Source organism: Homo sapiens, chromosome 1, assembly GCF_000001405.40.
Source record: "Homo sapiens chromosome 1, GRCh38.p14 Primary Assembly".
Lineage (NCBI taxonomy): Eukaryota > Metazoa > Chordata > Mammalia > Primates > Hominidae > Homo > Homo sapiens.
The window spans coordinates 174,114,595-174,137,019 of NC_000001.11; the positions used below are offsets into that span (position 1 = coordinate 174,114,595).

The following is a 22,425-nucleotide window of genomic DNA, read 5'->3' on the forward strand; positions in this document are numbered from 1 at the left end:
AACATCCTATTAATCTGACTTTAAGAATTTATTTTGATGGTCTTCAGACATATATTACATAAAAAAAGATTTTTGAAATCAAAGAAACCATTATATATCCAACGAATGGTTGCCTCACTGTATCTAAGTAATATTAGATAATTAAAAGTAATTTGGATATTAGTACAAATTAGTAGAAATTGGTCATTATTTGGGCCACTTCAACAGCTTCCCTATATTTAGGATATGTCTCACCATGTAAATCTTCGTGACAAGCAAAGGCTGTTTCCCATAATGGAAGCAGAAGATGTCACATACTTTCTCTGGGGTGCAGGCATGTGACCTAGGCTTTTCAGCCAGACATCTGTGTTAGACCTTTGACTCACAGCTAAGGAGACAAGCAACAGTTTTTTTCCTCTCTCTCCCTTCTCCCTTCCTCCTTCTGTGTTTCTCTCTCCTAGTGGCAATAGAGGTTACTGCAAGCGTGAGTTCCCATTGTATAAGTGGCCAAAGGGCAAATTGTGTTGTCTAGTGCTTGATGTCTCTAGTGCTAGCTGTAAGATTACCACATTGTCAGTCATACTTTGCCCAGCATTTTTCAGATTTTGGCATGGAAGGATCTGAATCCTTGGAAACTACAGTCACCAAAAAAACCAGGACAGTTGGTAACATTTGCCAACTTCTTCATCATGTCCGTTCTGTGGGTGGTTTATCGTTGCTGTTTAAGTTCAAGCCTGGTTTTACAGCCCTCTCAACAATTCTATGAGCTACCTGATATCTTTTTAAATTTTTGTTTTTTGAGATAAAGTCTTGCTCTATCGTCCAGGCTGGAGTGCAGAGGCATGATCACGGCTCACTGCAGCCTTGACCTCTGGGATAATGCGATTCTCTACATCAGCCTCTTGAGTAGCTGGGACTACAGGAGTGCACCACCATGCCTGGCTAATTTTTATTTATTTTTTTGTAGAGAAGGAGTCTTGCTACATTGTGCAGGCTGGTCTTGGACTCCTGGCCTCAATGGATCCTTGTGCCTTGACCTTCCAAAGTACTGGGATTATAGGCATGAGTCACTGCATCTGGCAAAAAAAAAAAAAAAAAAAAAAATTAATGGAAGTATAACTCAGTATCTGCTATGGTCTGAAAGTCTGTATCCTCCCAAATTCTTACGTTGAAACCTAATCACCAATGTGATGGTGTTAGGAGGTGGGGCCTTTAGGAGGTGATCAGGTCATAAGAACAGAGCCACTATGAATGAAATTAGTGCCCTTATAAAAGAGGCCCCAAGAAAGCTGAGTCTCTTTGTAAAGAATGCCTCTTACACCATGTGAGGATACAAGAAGGTGCCATCCACGACTGAAGTAAGGGGCCTTCCTTAGACACCAAATATGCTAGTCCCTTGATTTTGGACTTCTCAGCCTCCAGAACTGTGAGAAATAAATTTTTGTGTTTGTAAGGTACTCAGTCAATGGTATTTTGTAATAGAAACCCAAATAACTAAGACAATACCCTTTTAATCAACTACTGCTCTGCTTAAATCAAAGAGAATTGGTCTCAATTATTCTTACCAAGAACTTTGACTGAAACAGACACCTTTGTGTATAAGCAGTTTGGTAACCTTCTATATTTCACAATGACCCTATGAGTCATATTGGCTTAATTCAGCTTGTATAGTTATTACAGACCCTCTTTGATGTTAGTGAACTTTTTAGCATGTCGAAAGTTCTGAAAAAGCATCAGTAATGAGTGTTCTTATTGTATTTTTGAAATCCTGAGATATTTCTGATGGTTGAGACTACCATGAACCATTTTTTCCCTGGTGATGAGACAAACATTGACAGAATGTAAAATCACTTAAAAATAAAGTTGCTGACAGAAAATCTTAGATTTTCTCCATCCCATTCCATAACCTCCAAATTTATGAATGCTTAATTATCAAGATGAAGAATTTTTAAGGTCAAGGGAATAGAAGAAAGTGGTAACCTAAAAACCCATTTAACTATTCATCTTTGGACCATATATAAAAGTTCTTTGTTGTTTTTGCTGACAGGCATCTCTCCTGAACACACCCATCTCTCACCAGCTTCACCTTCCTAACATCCTCATATTCCTGCACTTTGATTTTCCATCCTTTGGAGGGGAAACCTTCAATAAAAATACTCCTGCTCATTAAAATGGTTATTACAATGCTATTGCATAAGCAATACATCTTTATTAAATAAAATAAAAATACTGGAAGAGAAATAGAAACAAGCATCCATAATTCTGCCACTACTAACATTTCGATATTCTTTTCTGTAAACACTCATATCTTTAATTATACAATTTTTTAAAATGTGGGGGATCAAATGATGCATACTATTTCAGAACCTGCTTTATTGGTAGAATTGTGGATTTCTTTCTGGATAGATATAATTTCAAATGATTGCACACTTTTACAATGTATAGAAGTATCATAACATGTCATCATTTAGTTTTTTTTTTCTTTTTTTTTTGAGATGGAATCTTGCTCTGTCACCCAGGCTGGAGTGCAATGGCGGGATCTCCGCTAACCACAACCTCCGCCTCCTGGGTTCAAGCAATCCTCCTGCCTCAGCCTCCTGAGTAGCTGGGATTACAGGCACGTGCCACCATGCCCAGCTAATTTTTTGTATTTTTAGTAGAGATGGGGTTTCACCATGTTGGCCAGGCTGGTCTCGAACTTCTGACCTCATGATCTGCCCGCCTCGACCTCCCAAAGTGCTGGGATTACAGGCGTGAGCTACCACACCTAGCACATCATTGAGTTTTTTAGGCTGGAGTGTAGTGGTGTAATCATATCTCACTGCAGCCTCAATCTCCTGGGCTAAGCGATCCTCCAGCCTCAGCCTCCTGAGTAGCTGGGACTACAGGCACACCACCAGGCCCAGCTAATGTTTGTGATTTTTAGTAAAAAGGAAGTCTTGTTATGTTGCCCAGGATGGTCTTGAACTCCTGAACTCAAACAATCCTCCTGCCTTGGCTTCCCAAAGTGCTGGGATTACATGCGTGAGCCACCACTCCCAGGCTATCATTGAATTTTGTTAAACATTGTTAGTCTTTATAAATAATACTGCCAAAATTGTGTATTTATCCTTCAACGTTTTTCTGATTATTTCTCAAAAATAAATATTAGATATTGAATTTTTACACCAGAGATACCAGTCTTGGTAACTCTGCAAGAAAACCAGTCTTGAGGGTTTTCTTATATCTTGACAAATTGCCTCCCAGAAAAGTTGTGCCTTTTTTATGCTCTTACCAGTCAGCTATGAGACTACTTCCACCCTCAACAACACTGAGTATTATCATTCTTTTTAATCATCATTAATTGGATAAACCAAGAGGTATCTCATTGTTTTATTGATTACAAGTGAGGCTAACATTTTAATGTATCTTTTGGCCTTGTATTTCTTCTTTTGTGAATTATCTGCTCCTATCAAGTGTTTGTTTTTCTTCATTGTAGATATATGAGATTAACCACTTAATTCCATCTTGAAATGCGGAGAAGCAAACTCACATTCTGAAAGTAATTATCATCCCCTTCATTAATTGACATTATTTGGTTTGTCATCATCATCTAGCCACTTGGTTTTTACAAATTATTTCCTCCCTGAAATAGCTTTCTAGTTGATTTTTCATTCTTTTATTTCATTCTCAAGAAGTGTTTAGATTTTCAAAATTTATTTTATTTTAATCCTAAAAGTATCATACTCAGAGTGAATTATCTATTTTAAATATGGGTGCTTGGAAATGTATACCTTGTATAGGAAGGAATTAAGTAGGTGGTACAAAAATGCAATTTATCTAATCAATCTGTTTTTTCTTTAGGTTAAAAATATTTTCTCCCTTTCAAAAAGAAAAAAAATTACATCTTTTGTCTTTTTAATTTATTTGTTTATTTATCTTATTTACTTAGAGATGGGGTCTCACTTTGTTGCCCAGACTGGTCTCAAACTCCTGGGCTCAAGTGATCCTCCCACCTCAGCCTGACAAAGTGCTGGGACTACAGGTGCAAGCTACTGTGCCCAGCTTTTCTTCTATTTAAAGAACATATAAACTATTAAATAAAAATACTTATGATGCTGGCATTTGTCACAAGGTGGGAGTTTAGAGGAAGTGCAATCAGTATCTTTGCTGCAGTATTTGCTGCCTGTTTTCTAACTGCTTTGCTGTTTTTTGCTGACCTTCATGTCCAATATTACCTCAAAATCCATCATCACCCTCTTCTAAAGCCTACCCACTGGGCATTGCTGGAGGCTGCTAATATCAATCACACCAGAGTAAAGAGAGAAACTCTTCAGGGGTTCTTGTTGGCTTCCATATCTTAGCTCTATTTTTAACTCCCTGCAATCAACACTGATGCCATTAGACATTTGCTTAATCTCAGTGTACTCTTTCCTTGGCTCATTCCTCTCACACCTTAGAACCTTTTCCCAAGCTACACCCTATGCTGTGAGTGACCATATGCTCTCTATTTTCTAGAGAGTCTCAATTTCAAATATTCTGTCTTGTTGCCAAATCAGCTGCCAAGCCATATGCTTCATATTTTCTTTGGGGAAATATATTTACCTACTTATGCTTCAGTTCCTTGAACTCTGCTCATGAAGATTTTTATTAGTTTTACATAATAGTTTATGAAAATTTTTTATTAGCTTAAAATGTAGCTCAGATGTCTTTTCCCTTGGGAAGCCCTCCTTCACAGTCCTCCTCCCTAGATGATACTCTCACCGATTAGGATTGCCTTCCTTGGTAGGGTTGGGAAAAGTGAAGGTGAAAGGGGTTGCTCCACATCTGTTATGGGTTTACCCACCTGCACTCTGCTGCTCAAGAAGGCTTCTCTGCCCAGTTAGAGGATACTCTTCATTTTTCTGCTGCAGATGGTTTGAGCCATTTCCCTCAATGGTAGAAATGGTTTGCTACATCTTCCTCCCATCTCCTGGTAGTCTATGGATCTGAGTATCTTTAGTAGCACATTGCCTCACCTTGCACATTTTAGTCTAGAATAATACCATAGGGAAGGGATGGGGTTCCTGGTGGGCTTTACACTCTTAAGTCCAGTTGCATAGTTTAGAGCCTAGGGAAGAGTTTTGGCAGTCTAAGGATCTGGGAGACAATTATTGGATCAGGCACATATATACACATTGATCTCCCAAGGACAGACATCAATTTTTAGTGCTGTATCAATAAGGAGGAAAATAAACATTTTCCTAACTATTCTGTATAACACAGCCCTGGTATGCAATGAAGTTAGAGCTATACCTTATAATGTGAACAGCATTAGGCCTTTAACTCATTTTCCCCCTCTCCTCTTTTGCTTTTATATTATATATATATATATATTTATTTATTTATTTAATTTAGTTTTTTGAGATGGACTCTCCATCTGTCACCCAGGCTGGAGCGCAGTGGTGTGATCTCGGCTCACTGCAACTTCCGCCCCCCAGCTTCAAGCAATTCTGCCTCAGCCTCCCTAGTAGCTGGGATTATGTTGCACTACCATGTCAGGCTACTTTTTGTATTTTTAGTAGAGATGGGGTTTTGCCATGTTGGCCAGGCTGGTCTCAAACTCCTGACCTCAAGTGATCTGCCCACTTCACCCTCCCAAAGTGCTGGGCTTACAGGCATGAGCCATCATGCCCGGCCTTCTTTTGCTTTTAAATAGGGAAGTCCAGGCCAACTAAAAATTTAAAAATAGGCCAATTGCTGACCCTAATTTCCCCCTAATAAATGAAAGTATGATATAAACTGTGGCCCTTCTCTGCAAGAAAAGATATACCCAGTCAATGTACAAAGAATTTTACATAGTTTCAGGGCATACACACACCTTTCTAGAAGATTTCTGCATTTTACAATAATTCCTATCATATTTATATTTGTGCTAGGCACTGGGAAAACAGACATTAATTAAAGAATCATACAGACAAATGTAAAATTACCATTGTAATGTTAGATCCATAATAGGTTGAGTTACTTTAGGCAGAGAGGTCCCAGAAAGTTTCTCTAGTGAAAGAACGATTGAGGTAGAGTCAGCCAGAAGGACAGAGAGAGTCCAGACAGAGGAAACTGCATGTTCAAAAGCCCTGTGACTGGGAGAAGTAAGCACATTTAGGGAATGGAAAGGCCAGTGTGGCTGAAGTACAGAGAATAAGGGGAACTAGTGAAACAGATTGGAGAGAGAGGCAGGGGTCAGCTTATAAAGTGCCTTGTAGATCATGTTAGGAAATTTGGTCTTAATTCTAATAGTACTGGGCACTGTTCTTGGTAGAAGGTTGATATCGGGCTTTGGGTTTTTTTTTTTTGAGATGGAGTTTCCCTCTTGTCGCCCAGGCTGGAGTGCAATGGTGCGATCTCAGCTTACTGCAACTTCTGCCTCCTGGGTTCAGGCTGTTCTCCTGCCTCAGCCTCATGAGTAGCTGGGACTACAGGCATGCACCACCATGCCCAGCTAATTTTGTATTTTTAGTAGAGATGGGGTTTCGCCATGTTGGCCAGGCTGGTCTTGAACTCCTGACCTCAGGTGATCTGCCTGCCTTGGCCTCCCAAAGTGCTGGGATTACAGGTGTGAGCCACCTTGCCTGGCCCTGGCTTTGGTTTTTACTATAACACTCTGGCTATCATGTGAAGAATGAGTTATAGGGGAGCAAGAATGAATAAAAAGAGATCAATTAGGACACTATGGCTAGTCCAGGTAAGAGAGAATGGTACTTGAAGTAGAGAGATGGCAGTGGAGGAAAACAGAAATGTCTGGGTTTAAGGAATAGTCAAGAAATGAATTGACAGAACTGAGAGATAAACTGAAAAATGAGAGAACAGGTGAGAGAGAGAAAGGAAAATGTGAAGAGTAATGTCTAGGTTTTGGGCTACCATAACAGGTTAAATAGTGGTGTCATTCAGAGAGATCAAGCATGCTAATAGAGGACCAAGTTCTGGTGGGGAAGATCTTGGGTTCATTTTGCACTTGTTGAATTTGAGATATCACTAATTCTTTCAATTGAAGTGTGCATTAGTGTGCTAGGGTTGCCATAACAAAATACCATAGACTAGGTGACTTAAATTACAGATATTTATTTTCTCATACTTCTGGAGGCTGGAAGTCTAAGATCAAGGTACCACCAGCAGGGTTGATTTCTGGTGAGGTCTGTCTTCCTGGTTTGCAGATAGTTGTCCTTTTGCAATGTCTTCATAAGGCCTTTTTTTTCTGTGTGCGGGTGAGAGAGAGGGAGAGAGAGGTGTGCATAAGCATGCACTGTGGGGTTTCTTCCTCTTGTAATGACACCAGTCCTGTTGGATTAGGAACCCACCCTTAGGAACTCATTTAACCTTAATTACCTCCCTAAAGACCGTATCTCAAAATACAGTCACATTGGGGGTTAAGGCTTCAACATATGAATTGGGGTGGGGGAGACACAATTCAGCCCATAACAAACTGTATTCCACAGTTGATAAAGTCATAGACATTCAAGTCAAGCAAAACTGGATTTAAAAACTTAGCTACCTGGGAGGCTGAGGTGAGAGGATTGCTTGAGACCAGGAGTTTGAGGCTGCAGTGAGCTATCATTGTACCACTGCACTCCAAGTATGGGTGACAGAACAAGAGCCTGTTTCTAAAAAACAAAACAAATTCTGGTGAGAATGTGGAGAAAATAGAAGCCTTGTACACTGTCAGCGGGAATGTAAATTAGTGTAAACCACTATGGAGAGCAGTTTGGAGGATCCTCAAAAAACTAAAAATAGAGCTACCATATGATCCTACAATCCCACTGCTAGGCATATACGTACTCAAAAGAAAGAAAATCAGTACATCAAAGAGATATCTGCACTCCTATGTTTACTGCAGCACTATTCATAATAGCTAAGATTTGAAAGCAATCTAAGTGCCCATCAACAGATGAACAGATAAAGAAAATATGGTCCTTATACACAGTGAAGTACTATTCACTCATGAAAAAGAATGAGATCCTGTCATTTGCAACAACATGGATGAAACTGGAGGTCATTATGTTAAGTGAAATAAGCCAGGGACAGAAAGACAAACTTCACATATTCTCACTTATTAGTGGGAGCTAAAAATTAAAACAACTGAACTCATGGAGATAGAGAGTAGAATGATAGTTACCAGAAGCTGGGAAGGGTTGTGGGGGAATGTGGGGGAAGTAGAGATGGTTAATGGATACAAAAAATAGTTAGAAACTATATTAGGCAGTTCTCACACTACTATAAATACCTGAGACTGGGTAATTTATAAAGAAAAGAGGTTTAATTGGCTCATAGTTCTGTAGGCTGTATAGGAGTCATAGTGGCTTCTCTTTGGCTTCTGGGGAGGCCTCTGGAAACTTACAGTCATGGCAGAAGGTGAAAATGAAGCAAGCATGTCTTACATGGCCAGAGCAGGAGGAAGAGAGAGAGGGGCAGAGGTACTACACACTTTTAAACAACCAGATCTCATGAGAACTCTATCATGGGAACAGCACTAGGGCGATGGTGCTAAACCATTTATGAGAAACTGCCCCCATGATCCAGTCACCTCCCACCAGGCCCCACCTCCAACAATGGGGATTACAATTTGACATGAGATTTGGGCCAAACCATATCAGAAACAATGAATAAGATCTAGTATGTGATAGCACAATGGGGTGACCTGAGTTGATAATTTAATTCTACATTTTAAAATAACTAAAAGAGTATAATTGGATTGTTTGTAATACAAAGGATAAACACTTGAGGTGGTGGATATTCCCTGATATGGTTTGGATCTGTGTCCCCATCCAAATCTCATATTGAAACGTAGTCCCCAGTGTTGGAGTTGGGGCCTGGTGGGAGGTGATTGGATCATGGGAACAGTTTCTAATGGTTTAGCACCATCTGCCTTCGGTACTGTACAGTGAGTTCTCACAAGATCTAGTTGTTTAAAAATGTGTAGCACCTTCCCCCACCTTCCTCCTGCTCTGGTGATGTGAGGTGCTCAGTCACCTCATGCCTTCTGCCATGATTGTAAGTTTTCTAAGGCCTCCCCAGAAGACAAGCAGATGCCAGCCACTATGCTTCCCATACAGCCTGCAGAACTGTGAGCAAATTAAACCTCTTTTCTTTATAAATTACCCTGTCTCAGGTATTTATTTAGAGCAGTGATAACAGACTAATATAGAAAGTTCTTACCAGGAGTCGGGGATTGCTATAAAGATACCTGAAAATGTGAAGCAGCTTTGGAACTGGGTAACAGGCAGAGGCTGGAACAGTTTGCAAGGCTCAGAAGAAGACAGGAAGATGAGGAAAAGTTTAAAAATTCCTAAACTTGAATGGTTGTGGTCAAAATGCTGGTAGTGATCAATGGTTGTGATCAAAATGCTAGACAGTGAAGGCCAGGCTGAGGAAGTCTCCAGATAGAAATGAGGAATTTATTGGGAACTGGAGCAAAGGTCACTTTTGTTATACTTTAGCAAAGAACTTGGAGGCATTGTGGCCCTTCCCTAGAGATCTATGAAACTTTGAACTTGAGAGTGATGATATCCAGGGTATCTGGAGGAAGACATTTCTAAGCAGCAAAGCATTCTAGATTTGGCCTGGCTGCATCTAACAGCCTATGCTCATATGCATGAGCAAAGAAATGACATAAAACTGGAACTTATGTTTAAAAGGGAAGCAGAATGTAAAAGTTGGGAAAATTTGCAGACTGGCCATGTGGTAGAAAAGAAGAGCCTATTTTCTGGGGAGGAATTCAAGCAGGCTGCAGAAATTTGCAAAAGTAAAAGGAAAGCAAACGCTGATAGCCAAGACAATGGGGAAAAGGGCTGGAAGGCATTTCATAGATCTTTGTGGCAGCCCTTCCTACCACAGGCCCAGAGACCTAGGAAAGAAGAATGGTTTTTGGGCCAGGTTCAGGGCCCCACCATTCTGCACAGCCTTGGGACACTGCTCCCTGTGTCCCAGCTGCTCCAGGTCCAGCCTCGGCTCAAAGGGGCCTAGGTACAGCTCAGGCAGCTGCTTCAAAATGTGCAATCCATAGCTTTGGTGGCTTTCATGTGGTGTTAAGCCTGTGGGTGTACAGAATGCAAGAGTTGAGGCTTGGGAGCCTCTGCCTATGTATGTATGGAGGATGTATGGAAAAGCCTGTATATTCAGACAGAAGCTTGTTGCAGGGGTAGAGCCCTCACAGAGAACCTCTACTAGGACAGTGGAGAGGGGAAATGTGGGGTTGGAACCCCCATATTTAGTCTCCACTGGGACACTGCCTAGTGGAGCTGTGAGAAGAAGAGGGCCATTGTCCTCCAGATCCCAGAATGGTAGATCCATTGGCAGCTTGCACCCTGTGTCTGGAAAAGGCAGAGGCACTCAACATCAGCCCCTGAGAACAGCTGTGTGGGTTGAACCCTGCAAAGCCACAGGGGTGAAGCTGCCCAGGACTTTGGGAGTCCACCCCTCATACCAGTGTGCCCTGGATGTGGGACACAGAGTAAAAAGAGATTATTTTGGAACTTTAAGATTTAATGACTTTCCTGCTGGGTTTTGGACTTGCATGAGGCCTGTAGCCCCTTTCTTTTGGCTGATTTCTCTCTTTTGGAATGGGAGTATTTACCCAATGCGTGTACTCCCATTGTATCTTGGGAGTAACTAACTTGTTTTTGATTTTACAGGCTCATAGGTGGAAGGGACTTGGCTTGTCTCAGATGAGACTTTGGACTTTTGAGTTAATGCTGAAATGGGTTAAGGCTTTGGGGGATGGTTGAGAAGGGATGATTGTATTTTGCAATGTAAGATGGACATGAGATTTGAAAGGGCCAAAGGAAGAATGATATGGTTTGGATCTGTGTCCCCACCCAAATCTCATGTCAAATTGTAATCCCCAGTGGTGAAGGTGGGGCCTGGTGGGAGGTGATTGGCCCATGGGGGCAGTTTCTTTTTCTTAAAATTTTTTCTTTTACATTAAGTTCCAGGATACAAGTGCAGAATACATGCAGGTATGTTACATAGGTATACATGTGCCATGGTGGTTTGCTGCACCTATTGATCCATCCTCTAAGTTCCCTCCCCTCGCCCCATGCCCCCAACAGGCTCTGGTGTGTGTTGTTCCTCTCCCTGTGTCCATGTGTTCTCACTGACCAACTCCCACTTATGCATAAGAACATGCGGTGTTTGGTTTTCTATTCCTGTGTTAGTTTGCTGAGGATGATGGCTTCCAGCTTCATCCATGTCCCCTCAAAGGACATGATCTCATTCCTTTTAATGGCTGCATAGTATTCCATAGTATATATGTACCACATTTTCTTTATCCAGTCTATCATTGATGGGCATTTGGGTTGGTTCCATGACTTTGCTATTATAAATAGTGCTGCAACAAACATACATGTGCATATGTTTTTATAGCAGAATGATTTATATTCCTTTGGGTATTTACCGAGTAATGGAATTGCTGGGTCAAATGGTATTTCTGGTTCTAGATCCTTCAGGAATCGCCATACTGTCTTCCACAATGGTTGAACTAATTTACATTCCCATCAACAGTGTAAAAGCATTCCTATTTCTCCACAACCTTGCCAACCACTATTATTTCTTGCCTTTTTAATAATCACCATTCTGACTGTCATGAGATGGTATCTCATTGTTGTTTTGTTTTGCATTTCTCTAATGATCATTGATGTTGAGCTTTTTTTCATATGTTTGTTGGATGCATAAAAATCTTCTTTTGAGAAGTGTCTGTTCATAACCCTTGCCCACTTTTTGATAGGGTTTTTTTTTTCTTGTAAATTTGTTTAAGTTCCTTGTAAATTCTGGATATCAGACCTTTGTCAGATGGGTAAATTGCAAAAATTTTCTCCCATTCTGTAGGTTGCCTGTTTACACTGATGATAGTTTATTTTGCTGTGCAGAAGCTCTTTAGTTTTATTATATCCCATTTGTCAATTTTGGCTTTTGTTGCAATTGCTTTTGGCATTTTTGTCATGAAGTTTTGCCCATGCCTATGTCCTAAATGGTACTGCCTACGTTTCCTTCAAGGGTTTTTATGGTTTTGGGTTTTACATTTAAGTCTTTAATCCATCTTGAGTTAATTTTTGTATAAGGCGAAAGGAAGGGATCCAGTTTCAATTATCTGCATATGGGTAGCCAGTTTTCCCAGCACCATTTATTGAATAGGAGATCCTTTCCCCATTGCTTGTTTTTGTCAGGTTTGTTGAAGATCAGATGGTTGTAGATGTATGACATTATTTCTGAGGTCTCTGTTCTGTTCCATTGGTCTATATGTCTGTTTTGGTACCAGTACCATGCTGTTTTGGTTACTGTAGCCTTGTAGTATAGTTTGAAGTCAGGTAGCGCGATGCCTCCACCTTTGTTCTTTTTGCTTAGGATTGTCTTGGCTATACAGGGACTTCATTGATTCCATATGAAATTTAAAGTAGTTTTATCTAATTCTGTGAAGAATGTCAGTGGTAATTTGATGGGGATAGCATTGAATCTATAAACTACTTTGGGCAGTATGGCCATTTTCAAGATATGGACTCTTCCTATCCATGAGGTTGGAATGTTTTTCCAATTGTTTGTGTCCTCTCTTATTTCCTTGAGCAGTGGTTTGTAGTTCTCCTTGAAAAGGTCCTTCACATCCCTTGTTAGCTGTATTCCTAGGTATTTTATTCTCTTTGTAGTGATTGTGAATAGGAATTCACTCATGATTTGGCTCTCTGCTTGTCTATTATTGGTGTAAAGGAAGGCTTGTGATTTTTGCACATTGATTTTGTATGTTGAGGCTTTGCTGAATTTGCTTATCAGTTTAAGGAAGTTTTGGGCTGAGATGATGGGGTTTTCTAAATATACAATCATGTCATCTGCATACAGAAACAATCTGACTTCCTCTCTTCCTATTTGAATACACTTTTATTTCTTTCTCTTGCCTGATTGCCCTGGCCAGAACTTTCAATACTATGTTGAATAGGAGTTGTGAGAGCGGGCATTCTTGTCTTGTACTGGTTTTCAAAGAGAATGCTTCCAGCTTTTGCCCATTCAATATGATATTGGCTGTGGGTTTGCCAAAAATAGCTCTTATTATTTTGACATACGTTCCATCAATATCTAGTTTATTAAGAGCTTTTAACATGAAGGGATGTTGAATTTTATTGAAGGCCTTTTCTGCATCTATTGAGATAATCACGTGGTTTTTGTCATTGGTTCTGTTTATGTGATGGATTATGTTTATTGATTTGCATATGTTGAACTAGCCTTGTATCCCAGGGATGAAGCCAACTTGAAAATGATGGATAAGCTTTTTGATGTGCTGCTGGATTTGGTTTGCCAGTATTTTATTGAGGATTTTCACATTGATGTTCATCAGGGATATTGGCCTGAAGTTTTCTTTCTTTTCTTGGGTCTGTTCCTGGTTTTGGTATCAGGATGATGCTGGCTTCATAAAATGAGTTAGGGAGGAGTCCCTCCTTTTCAATTATTTGGAATAATTTCAGAAGGAATGGTACCAGCTCCTCTTTGTAACTCTGGTAGAATTTGGCTGTGAATCCATCTGGTCCTGGGCTTTTTAATTTTTTTGGTTGGTAGGCTATTAATTACTGCCTCAATTTCAGAACTTGTTATTGGTCTACTCAGGGATTGGACTTCTCCTAGTTGAGTCTTGGGAGGGTGTATGTGTCCAGGAATTTATCCATTTCTTCTAGATTTTCTAGTTTATTTGTGTAGAGGTGTTTATGGCATTCTCTGATGGTAGTTTGTATTTCCATGGGGTCAGTGGTGATATCCCCTTTATCATTTTTTATTGTGCCTATTTGATGCTTCTCTCTTTTCTTCTTTATTAATTGAGCTAGCAGTCTATTTTGTTAATTTTTTAAAAAAATCCGCCCCTGGATTCATTGATTTTTTGGAGGGTTTTTCATGTCTCTATCTCCTTTAATTCTGCTTTGATTTTAGTTATTTCTTGTCTTCTGCTAGCTTTTGGATTAGTTTGCTCTTGCCTCTCTAGCTCTTTTAATTGTGATGTTAGGGTGTCAATTTGAGATCTTTCTAGTTTTCCAATGTGGGTATTTAGTGCTATAAATTTCCCTCTTAACACTGCTTAACTAGCTGTAGCCTAGAGATTCTGGTATATTGTCTCTTTGTTCTCATTGGTTTCAAATAACTTTTTGATTTTGCCTTAATTTCATTATTTACCCAGTAGTCAATCAGGAGCAGGTTGTTCAATTTCCATGTAATTGTGTGGTTTTGAGTGAGTTTCTTTATTCTGAGTTCTAATTTGATTGCACTGTGGTCTGAGAGACTGTTTGTTATGATTTCAATTCTTTTGCATTTGCTAAGGAGTCCTTTAATTCCAATTCTGTGGTTGATTTTAGAATAAGTGCCATGTAGCACTGAGAAGAATGTATATTCTGTTGACTTGGGGTGGAGAGTTCTGTAGATGTCTATTAGTTCCACTTGATCCAGAGCTGAGTTCAAGTCCTGAATATCTTTGTTTATTTTCTGTCTCATTGATCTAATATTGACAGTGGGGTGTTAAAGTCTCCCACTATTATTGTGTGGGAGTCTAAGTCTCCTTGTAGGTCTCTAAGAACTTGCTCTATGAATCTGGGTGCTCCTGTATTGGGTGCATATATATTTAGAACAGTTAGCTCTTCTTGTTGAATCGTTCCCTTTACCATTAGGTAATGCCCTTGTTTGTCTTTTTTTAATCTTTGTTGATTTAAAGTCTGTTTTGTCAGAGACTAGGATTGCAACCCTTGCTTTTTTTTTTTTGCCTTACATTTGCTTGGTAAATTTTCTTCCATCCCTTTATTTTGAGCCTATGTGTGTCTTTGCACATGAGATGGGTCTCCTGAATACAGCACACTGATGGGTCTTGACTCTTTATCCAATTTGCCAGTCTGTGTCTTTTAACTGGGGCATTTAGCCCTTTTACATTTAAAGTTAGTATTATTATGTGTAAATTTGATTCTGTCATGATGCTGTCTGGTTATTTTGCACACTAGTTGATGCAGTTTCTTCATAGTGTCATTGGTCTTTATATTTTGATGTGTTTTTGCAGTGGCTGGTAGCAGTTTTCCTTTCCATATTTAGTGCTTCTTTCAGGAGCTCTTACAAGGCAGGCCTTGTGATAATGAAATCCCTCAGCATTTGCTTGTCTGGAAAGGGTTTTATTTCTGCTTCACTATGAAGCTTAGTTTGGCTGGATATGAAATTCTGGGTTGAAAATTATTTTCTTTGAGAATGTTGAATATTGGCCCCCCCATCTCTTCTGCCTTGTAGAGTTTCTGCTGAGAGCTCCACTGTTAGTCTGATGGACTTCCCTTTGTAGGTGACCTGGTTTTTCTCTCTGGCTGTCCTTAACATTTTTTTCCTTCATTTCAACCTTGGAGAATCTGATGATTATGTGTCTTGGGGTTGATCGTCTCATGGAGTATCTTGGTGGTGCTCTCTGTATTTTGTGAATTTGCATGTTGGCCTTTCTTGCTAGGTTGGGGAAGTTCTCCTGAATAGCCTGAAGTGTGTTTTCCAGCTTGTTTCCATTCTCCCCATCTCCTTCAGGTACTCCAATCAATCATAGGTTCTGTCTTTTTACGAAGTCCCATATTTCTTGGAGGCTTTGTTCATTCCTTTTCATTCTTTTTTCTCTAGCCTTGTTTGCATGCCTTATTTCAGCAAGGTGGTCTTCAAACTCTGATATCCTTTCTTCTGCCTGGTCGATTCAGCTATTGATAATGTGTATGCTTCACAAAGTTCTCGTGCTGTGTTTTTCAGCTCCATCAGATCACTTATGTTCCTCTCTAAGCTGGTTATTCTAGCTGGCAGCTCCTCTAACCTTTTATCAAGGTTCTTAGCTTCTTCATATTGAATTAGAACATGCTCCTTTAGCTCAGCATAGTTTTTTATTATCCATCTTCTGAAGCCTACTTCTGTCAATTCACCCATCTCATCCTCCGTCCAGTTCTGCGCCCTTTCTGGAGAGACAATGCAATCATTTGGAGGGGAAGAGGCACTCTGGCCTTTTGGGTTTTCAGCATTTTTTTGTTGATTCTTTCTGATCTTCATGAGTTTGTGTAGTTTCGATCTTTGAGGCTGCTGATCCTTGGATGGGGTTTTTGTGGGGGCTTTTTGCTGTGTTGTTACTGTTTGTTTGTTTGTTTTTCTTTCAATGGTCAGATCCCTCTTCTGTAGGGATACTGCGATTTGCTGGGGGGTTCCACTTCAGGCCCTATTCATCTGGTTCGTTCTTGTGCCTGGAGATGTCACTCAAGGAGGAGAACAGCAAAGATGAGTGCCTGCTCCTTCTTCTGGGACCTCTGACCTCAAGGGGCACCAAACTGATGCCAGTAGGATCACTCCTGTATAGGGTGTCTGACAACACCTGTTGGAGGGTCTCACCCAGTTGGGTGGCATAGGGAACAGGACCTGTTTAATGAAGTACTTTGTCCCTTGGTGGAGGGGTGTGCTTTGCTGGGTGGGAAACCCACTCCTCTGGGCTGCCTGGATTCCTCAGAACTACCAGGAGGAAAGGCTAAGTCTGCTGGTCCAGAGACTGTGGCAACTCCTCCCCCTAGGGGCTCAGGCCCAGGAGATCCGGGTTCTGTCCCTGAGCCTCTGGCTGGAGTTACTGGAGTCCCTGCAGGGAAGCCCTGCCCAGTGAGGAAGGATGAGTCAGGGTCAGGCTTGAAGAGGCACTCTGGACACAGTATGTCACAGCCAGTGTGTTGGGCTGTGGGGGACACATCTTGGGACCAAGCCGTCCAGCCTTCCTGGCCCCAGCAGGGGAAAAGTGTGGCCTGGAGCCATAGAGATGGCTGCCATCCTTCCCCTGCCCAGGGAGCTCAGTGTGTTAGGCAGTTGTGAGTCCCAGTGCTGGCTGCTGCCCCTCCCCCAAGGAGCTCAAATGGCTTAGACAGCAGGCAGCTGCAACCGTGGTGCTGGTTGCCCCTTCCCCCCAGGAGCTTGGTAGGCTTAAGCAGATTCTAGCTGAGAGGCTATTGAGAATATGTACGGCTCTGGGGTTGGGACACTAGGCCCTAGTGGCATGGGTTTGCGAGTGGGATCTTCTGATCTGTGGGCCGCCCAGTTCTGTGGAAAAAGCACTGTTTCCCCAGCTGGCTACCATGCCCACTCACCACCTCCCTTGGCTGTGGGCTGGGGACTCCACTGCCCTGTGTGGCTCTCAGGTGGGCCACCTCACTACACTGCTCTTCTTTCCTCTCCGTGGGTCACGCCAGTCCCCTAGTCCATTCTGATGAGAACCTGAATACCTTGGTTGCTGGTGAAGGATTCACATGCTTATTATGGTCCTTTTTGATGGGAGCCTCCAATCACCACTGCTTCTAGTCGGCCACCTTGGCCCTGATGGGGGCAGTTTCTAATGGTTTAGCAGTGTCCCCTCTTTGTACTGTATAGTGATTTTGTTCTCACAAGATCTGGTTGTTTAAAAGTGTGTAGCACCTCCCCGACTTTCTCCTGCTCTGGCCATGTGAGGCCTTCACCCCTCCTTTGCCTTCTGCCATGATTTTAAGTTTTCTGAGGCCTCTCCAGAAATTCAGCAGATGCCAGCTGCTATGCTTCCTGTACAGCCTGCAGAACTATGAGCCAATTAAACCTCTTTTCTTATAAATTACTCAGTTTCAGGTATTTCTTCATAGCAGAGTGAAAACGAACTGATACACTCCTTCAAAAAAATAAATTAATAAGTTAATTGAACAACAACAAAAAATTGGCTACCACAACCCAAAAAGTACATCAGCAAGTACACAGATAAAAACATTTCACTCTTGAACAACATGGGTTTGACCTATGCAGGTGAACTTATTTATGAATTTTTTTCAACCAAATGCAGATTGAAAATACAGTATTCAAGAGATGCAAAACCCATGTATACAACAGGGCAACTTCTCTTTTATACAAGGGTTCTTTCTGCAGGGCTGACTGTGGGACTTGAACGTGTGCAGATTTTGGTAAACGTGGGAATCCTGAAACCAGTCCCCAAGAAAACTGAGGGATGACTGTAATTGAAGAGTAACTATACAGAGAAATATTAGTCAGCAATAAAAAGGAAGAAGTATTGATACACACAACATGGGTGAATCTCAAAATAATTATGCTGAACGAAAGAAGCTGGACAAAAAAGTGTGTGTGATTTTACTTAAATAAAATTCTAGAAAATGCAAACTAACCTACAGTGACAGAAAGCAAATTAGTGGTTTCCTGGGAAGGAATAGACAGAGAGAGGCATGAGGGAAAGGGGCATGAGAAAATTTGGGGTGATAGATATAATTATCTTGGTGGTGGTGATAGTTTCACAGGTGTTTATATATGTCAAGAGGTATCAAATTGCACACTTTAGGCCAGGCATAGTGGCTCATGCCTGTAATTCCAGTATTTTGGCAGGCCAAGGCAGGTAGATGGTTTGAGCTCGGGAGTTTGAGGCCAGCTTGGGCAACATAGTGAGACCTCATCTCTACAAGAACTTTTTCAAAAATTAGCTGGGCATGGTGGCTCACACCTGTAGTTCCAGCTACTTGGGAGGCTGAGGCAAAAGATGGCTTGCACTTGGGAAATTGAGCCTGCAGTGAGCCATGATCACGCCACTGCACTACAGCTTGGATGACAGAATGAGACCCTGCCTCAAAAAATTTTTTGCACGTTTTAAATATGTGCAATTTTTTCTGCATCATTTATGTCTTAATAAAGTTGTTAAATTTGGGGGGTGGGGGAATCAAAGGAGACTGTCTCCATGCCCTGACAAAAGTCTAGAAGTTTTTCTCTACCCATAACAAAGGGCATGTAGCTTCTAATTCAGGTGGCCAGGCTTGGGCCAAATACTAGGTTTCTGAGGATGCCCTGGATCTCTTTAGAGGAGCTTTTTTTGGGGCCAGCTAAGCTTGTTCACTGAGATCCTCATTGGGGCCGCCTCTTGCCCCCATTTCTTGCACTTATCATTTGCTATTCTGAAACGAAAAATAGGAGTGGGCTGGGTGTGGTGGCTCATGTCTGTAATCCCAGTACTTTGAGAGGCCGAGGCGGGCGGATCACCTGAGATCAGGAGTTAGAGACCACCCTGGACAACATGGTGAAACCCCATCTCTACTAAAAATATGAAAAATTATCTGGGTGTGGTGGCGCGCCTGTAATCCCAGCTACTCAGGAGGCTGAGCCATGAGAATTGCTTGAACCTGGGAGGCAGAGGTTGCAATGAGCCGAGATTGTGCCACTGCACACCAGCCTGGGTGACAGAGCAAGACTCCGTCTCAAAAAGGAAAAAAAAAAAAGAAAAAAAAAGACTGAAGTCATCATTTGTTCAATAAGCACTTACAGAGCATCTACTAAGTGCAAGATGTTGTGGGCGTATTTATTGGGCAGTTTCCCCACACCTTGTATGGGGTCCTTGTGACTTGCTTTGACCAATACAATGTGGAAGAAGTAATATTGTGTGCCAGTTCTGAGTCCAGGCCTTACGAGACTTGCGTACTTCTGCTTGGAAACCTGCTAGTCCATGTGAATAAGCTGGTACTAGCCTGATGCAGGATGAGAGACATATAGTGCAGTCATCCCCATCTCCTGGCTGCTTTTTGCTAAACTCTAAAAGCAGAACCTCTTAGGTTCCTGGAAATTGACTGCAGATGCATAAACCAGTTCAACTGAGACCAGAAAAGCTGCCCATCAAAGTCCAGCCCAAATTACTGAACCATAAAACTGCTGAGTTAAATAAATGGTCTCTTTCTTTCACACACACATACACACATGGTTCCTCCTCTTATTACTAGTACACAAATGACTTGGTCAAGTCATTTAACCTGTCAGTACCTCAATTTTCTTATCTTTAAAGTGATTATAAAAATACCTATATTTGTTTATATATTTGAGGTAATTATATATTTGTTATATAATTATATATAGTTATTTATAATTGAGGTAATTATATATTTGTTATATATAATTATATATTGAGGTAATTATATATTTGCTATATATAATTATATATTGAGGTAATTATATATTTGTTTATATATTTGAGGTAATATTTGTAAAGTGCCTAGCACAATGCCGAGTATATAGTAGGTAACAGAATATGGTAGCAATAATTATTTTTTGAGATAGGGCCCATATTTTACTTATCTTTTTTTCTCCTGCAACTAGCACAGAGTCTTCTTCATGAAAGGAACTCAATAAGTAAATATGACTATTTTGGAAGTGTAGTAATTTCAATGAATAATCTGATTATAATCTTTATAAAGATAGTTCACATCTTCATAAAGATATGTCTATCTTAAAGGCAGTAAGAATCATTACCTCTCTAGCTGTGATTTTTTTTTTTTTTTTTTTTTGAGACGGAGTCTCGTTCTGTCGCCCAGGCTGGAGTGCAGTGGCGCAATCTCGGCTCACTGCAAGCTCCACCTCCTGGGTTCACGCCATTCTCTTGCCTCAGCCTCCTGAGCAGCTGGGACTACAGGCACCCGCCACCACGCCCGGCTAATTTTTTGTATTTTTAGTAGAGACAGGGTTTCACCATGCTAGCCAGGATGGTCTCAATCTCCTGACCTCGTGATCCGCCTGCCTTGGCCTCCCAAAGTGCTGGGATTACAGGCATGAGCCACCGCGCCCGGCCTAGCTGTGATTTTTAAAAGGAAGCTAGCAAATAAACAAAAAATCTTTGTTATCTTCATTTCCTTGAAATCCAGGACTGATATTGGAATTCTCACTTCTTTCCTTCTTAACCATTCAATACCAGCTGCTCATTCCTTTCTCCTTGAAACACTATACTTATTTGGCTCCTATATAGCATACTTTGCTGATTTCCTGTCTGCTTCATCAGCCACAGTCTCTTTTGAGAGTTCATCCTCATCTCAGCCTATAAATGTTGAAGTGATCTAGGGCTCAGCCCTTTGCCCTTTTCTCTTCATTTCCATTCTTTCCCTTGGTGATGTCATTCAGTTTCATGGCTTTAAATAACTTCCCTATTACTGGCAATCTCAAATTTTTGTCTCTAGCTCAGACCTCTCTCCTGAACTCCGGTCTTATAAATCCAACTTTATAATCTAACTGCTGATTTGACGTCTCTATTGGGATACTTAATAGGCATCTAAACCTTTATGCATCTAAAGTTTAACTCCAGAGTCTGCCCTTCTTCCACCTTGAAGTTGCTCCTCCTAAAATTTTCCCTATCTCAGTATATGACAATTCCTCTTTCTAGTTCCATGCACTGCTAGAAGGACCTAATATTTAGGGAGCAATTCTCCTAAGGTATTGCCCATTATTCTGCCTCATATTACACATAGCAACCAGGAATGAAGGGTGGGAGACTGTCACAGTATAACAATGCCAGATGTTGTCAATGCCAGTATGAGACCATTCATGGTCCCCTGCCTCTTCAGCAAAATTCTCCTGTCCTATATTGCTTTTTCTTCTCATCATTTTAGGTAAAAATAAATGATACATTAATTACTTTTAAGGTCATACCTTTTCAACAAGCTTTGTGCCCTTAAAAGCTCCCTCTCTACTAGTGGGTTCCTCTGCTGGCATTTTATAGCAAGCTCCATTCATTTCCTTGATGAATTATTCCAAAATTATATATATATAAAACTTTCTGTTATATATATATAAAACTTTCTGTTATATATATATATAACTTTCTGTTATATATATATAACTTTCTGTTATATATATATATAACTTTCTGTTATATATATATAACTTTCTGTTATATATATATATAACTTTCTGTTATATATATATAACTTTCTGTTATATATATATATAACTTTCTGTTATATATATATATAACTTTCTGTTATATATATATAACTTTCTGTTATATATATATGTAACTTTCTGTTATATATATAATTTTCTGTTATATATATATATAACTTACTGTTATATATATCTTTGTTTTATATATATTTATAACTTTCTGTTATATATATAACTTTCTGTTTTTTTATATATATATATATGTATAACAGAAACCTTCAGTATTTCAAAATTCAAAACAGTAAACATTGACCATTGTAGCATGACTACTGGGGAATACAGTGTTAGGCAAGTTAGTCTTTTTATGCCAGTCAATATCATACTTGGCCATCTACTGTACTTCTCACAAACGAATTTGTCTTCTCCCAAGAGGCTAATTCTGTTTCAAAAGTACTATTTTAACATTTTTCTGTCTTCTTTCCTTCAGAAGACTTTCATATGCAAGAAGCCCAATTATTTTTCCACTCCTGGGTTCCAGAAGGCTATTCTTGAATACCCTTGAACCCCTCCTGGGTTCCAGAAGGGTATTCTTGAATGAAGTGTCATTTTCTCTCTTTTTCATAGATTTATTCAGCATCTGAAGAATTACCCAAAAAAGAAATGAATCTGCGTGGGATGGCTCATATTGCATACAGTTTCAAAATTACTTTCATATCCACTTCCTTATCTAATTCTATCAATATCTTACTTCTAATACTAATATCTCCTGATTTTATT

At 40.3% G+C, this 22,425-nt stretch overlaps 1 long non-coding RNA gene across 1 annotated transcript in view, besides 2 other annotated features; it reads right to left on the minus strand.

Annotated features, from left to right (window-relative positions):
* Nucleotides 362-421: a silencer, noted in NCBI's record as "silent region_1560". NCBI's record gives its function as "represses an Ori minimal core promoter by ATAC-STARR-seq in GM12878 lymphoblastoid cells {active_cell/tissue: GM12878}" and the evidence as "EXISTENCE:reporter gene assay evidence [ECO:0000049][PMID:35858748]".
* RABGAP1L-DT (RABGAP1L divergent transcript) overlaps nt 7,044-22,425 on the minus strand; it is a 37,650-nt gene continuing 22,268 nt past the window's right edge. The window contains exon 4 of the long non-coding RNA NR_121197.1: nt 7,044-7,192. This is a non-coding gene — a long non-coding RNA (RABGAP1L divergent transcript). The remainder of the gene's footprint in view (nt 7,193-22,425) is intronic.
* Nucleotides 16,697-16,991: a silencer, noted in NCBI's record as "tiled region #797; K562 Repressive non-DNase unmatched - State 20:ReprD". NCBI's record gives its function as "represses a minimal TATA promoter and a strong SV40 promoter by Sharpr-MPRA in K562 cells {active_cell/tissue: K562}" and the evidence as "EXISTENCE:reporter gene assay evidence [ECO:0000049][PMID:27701403]".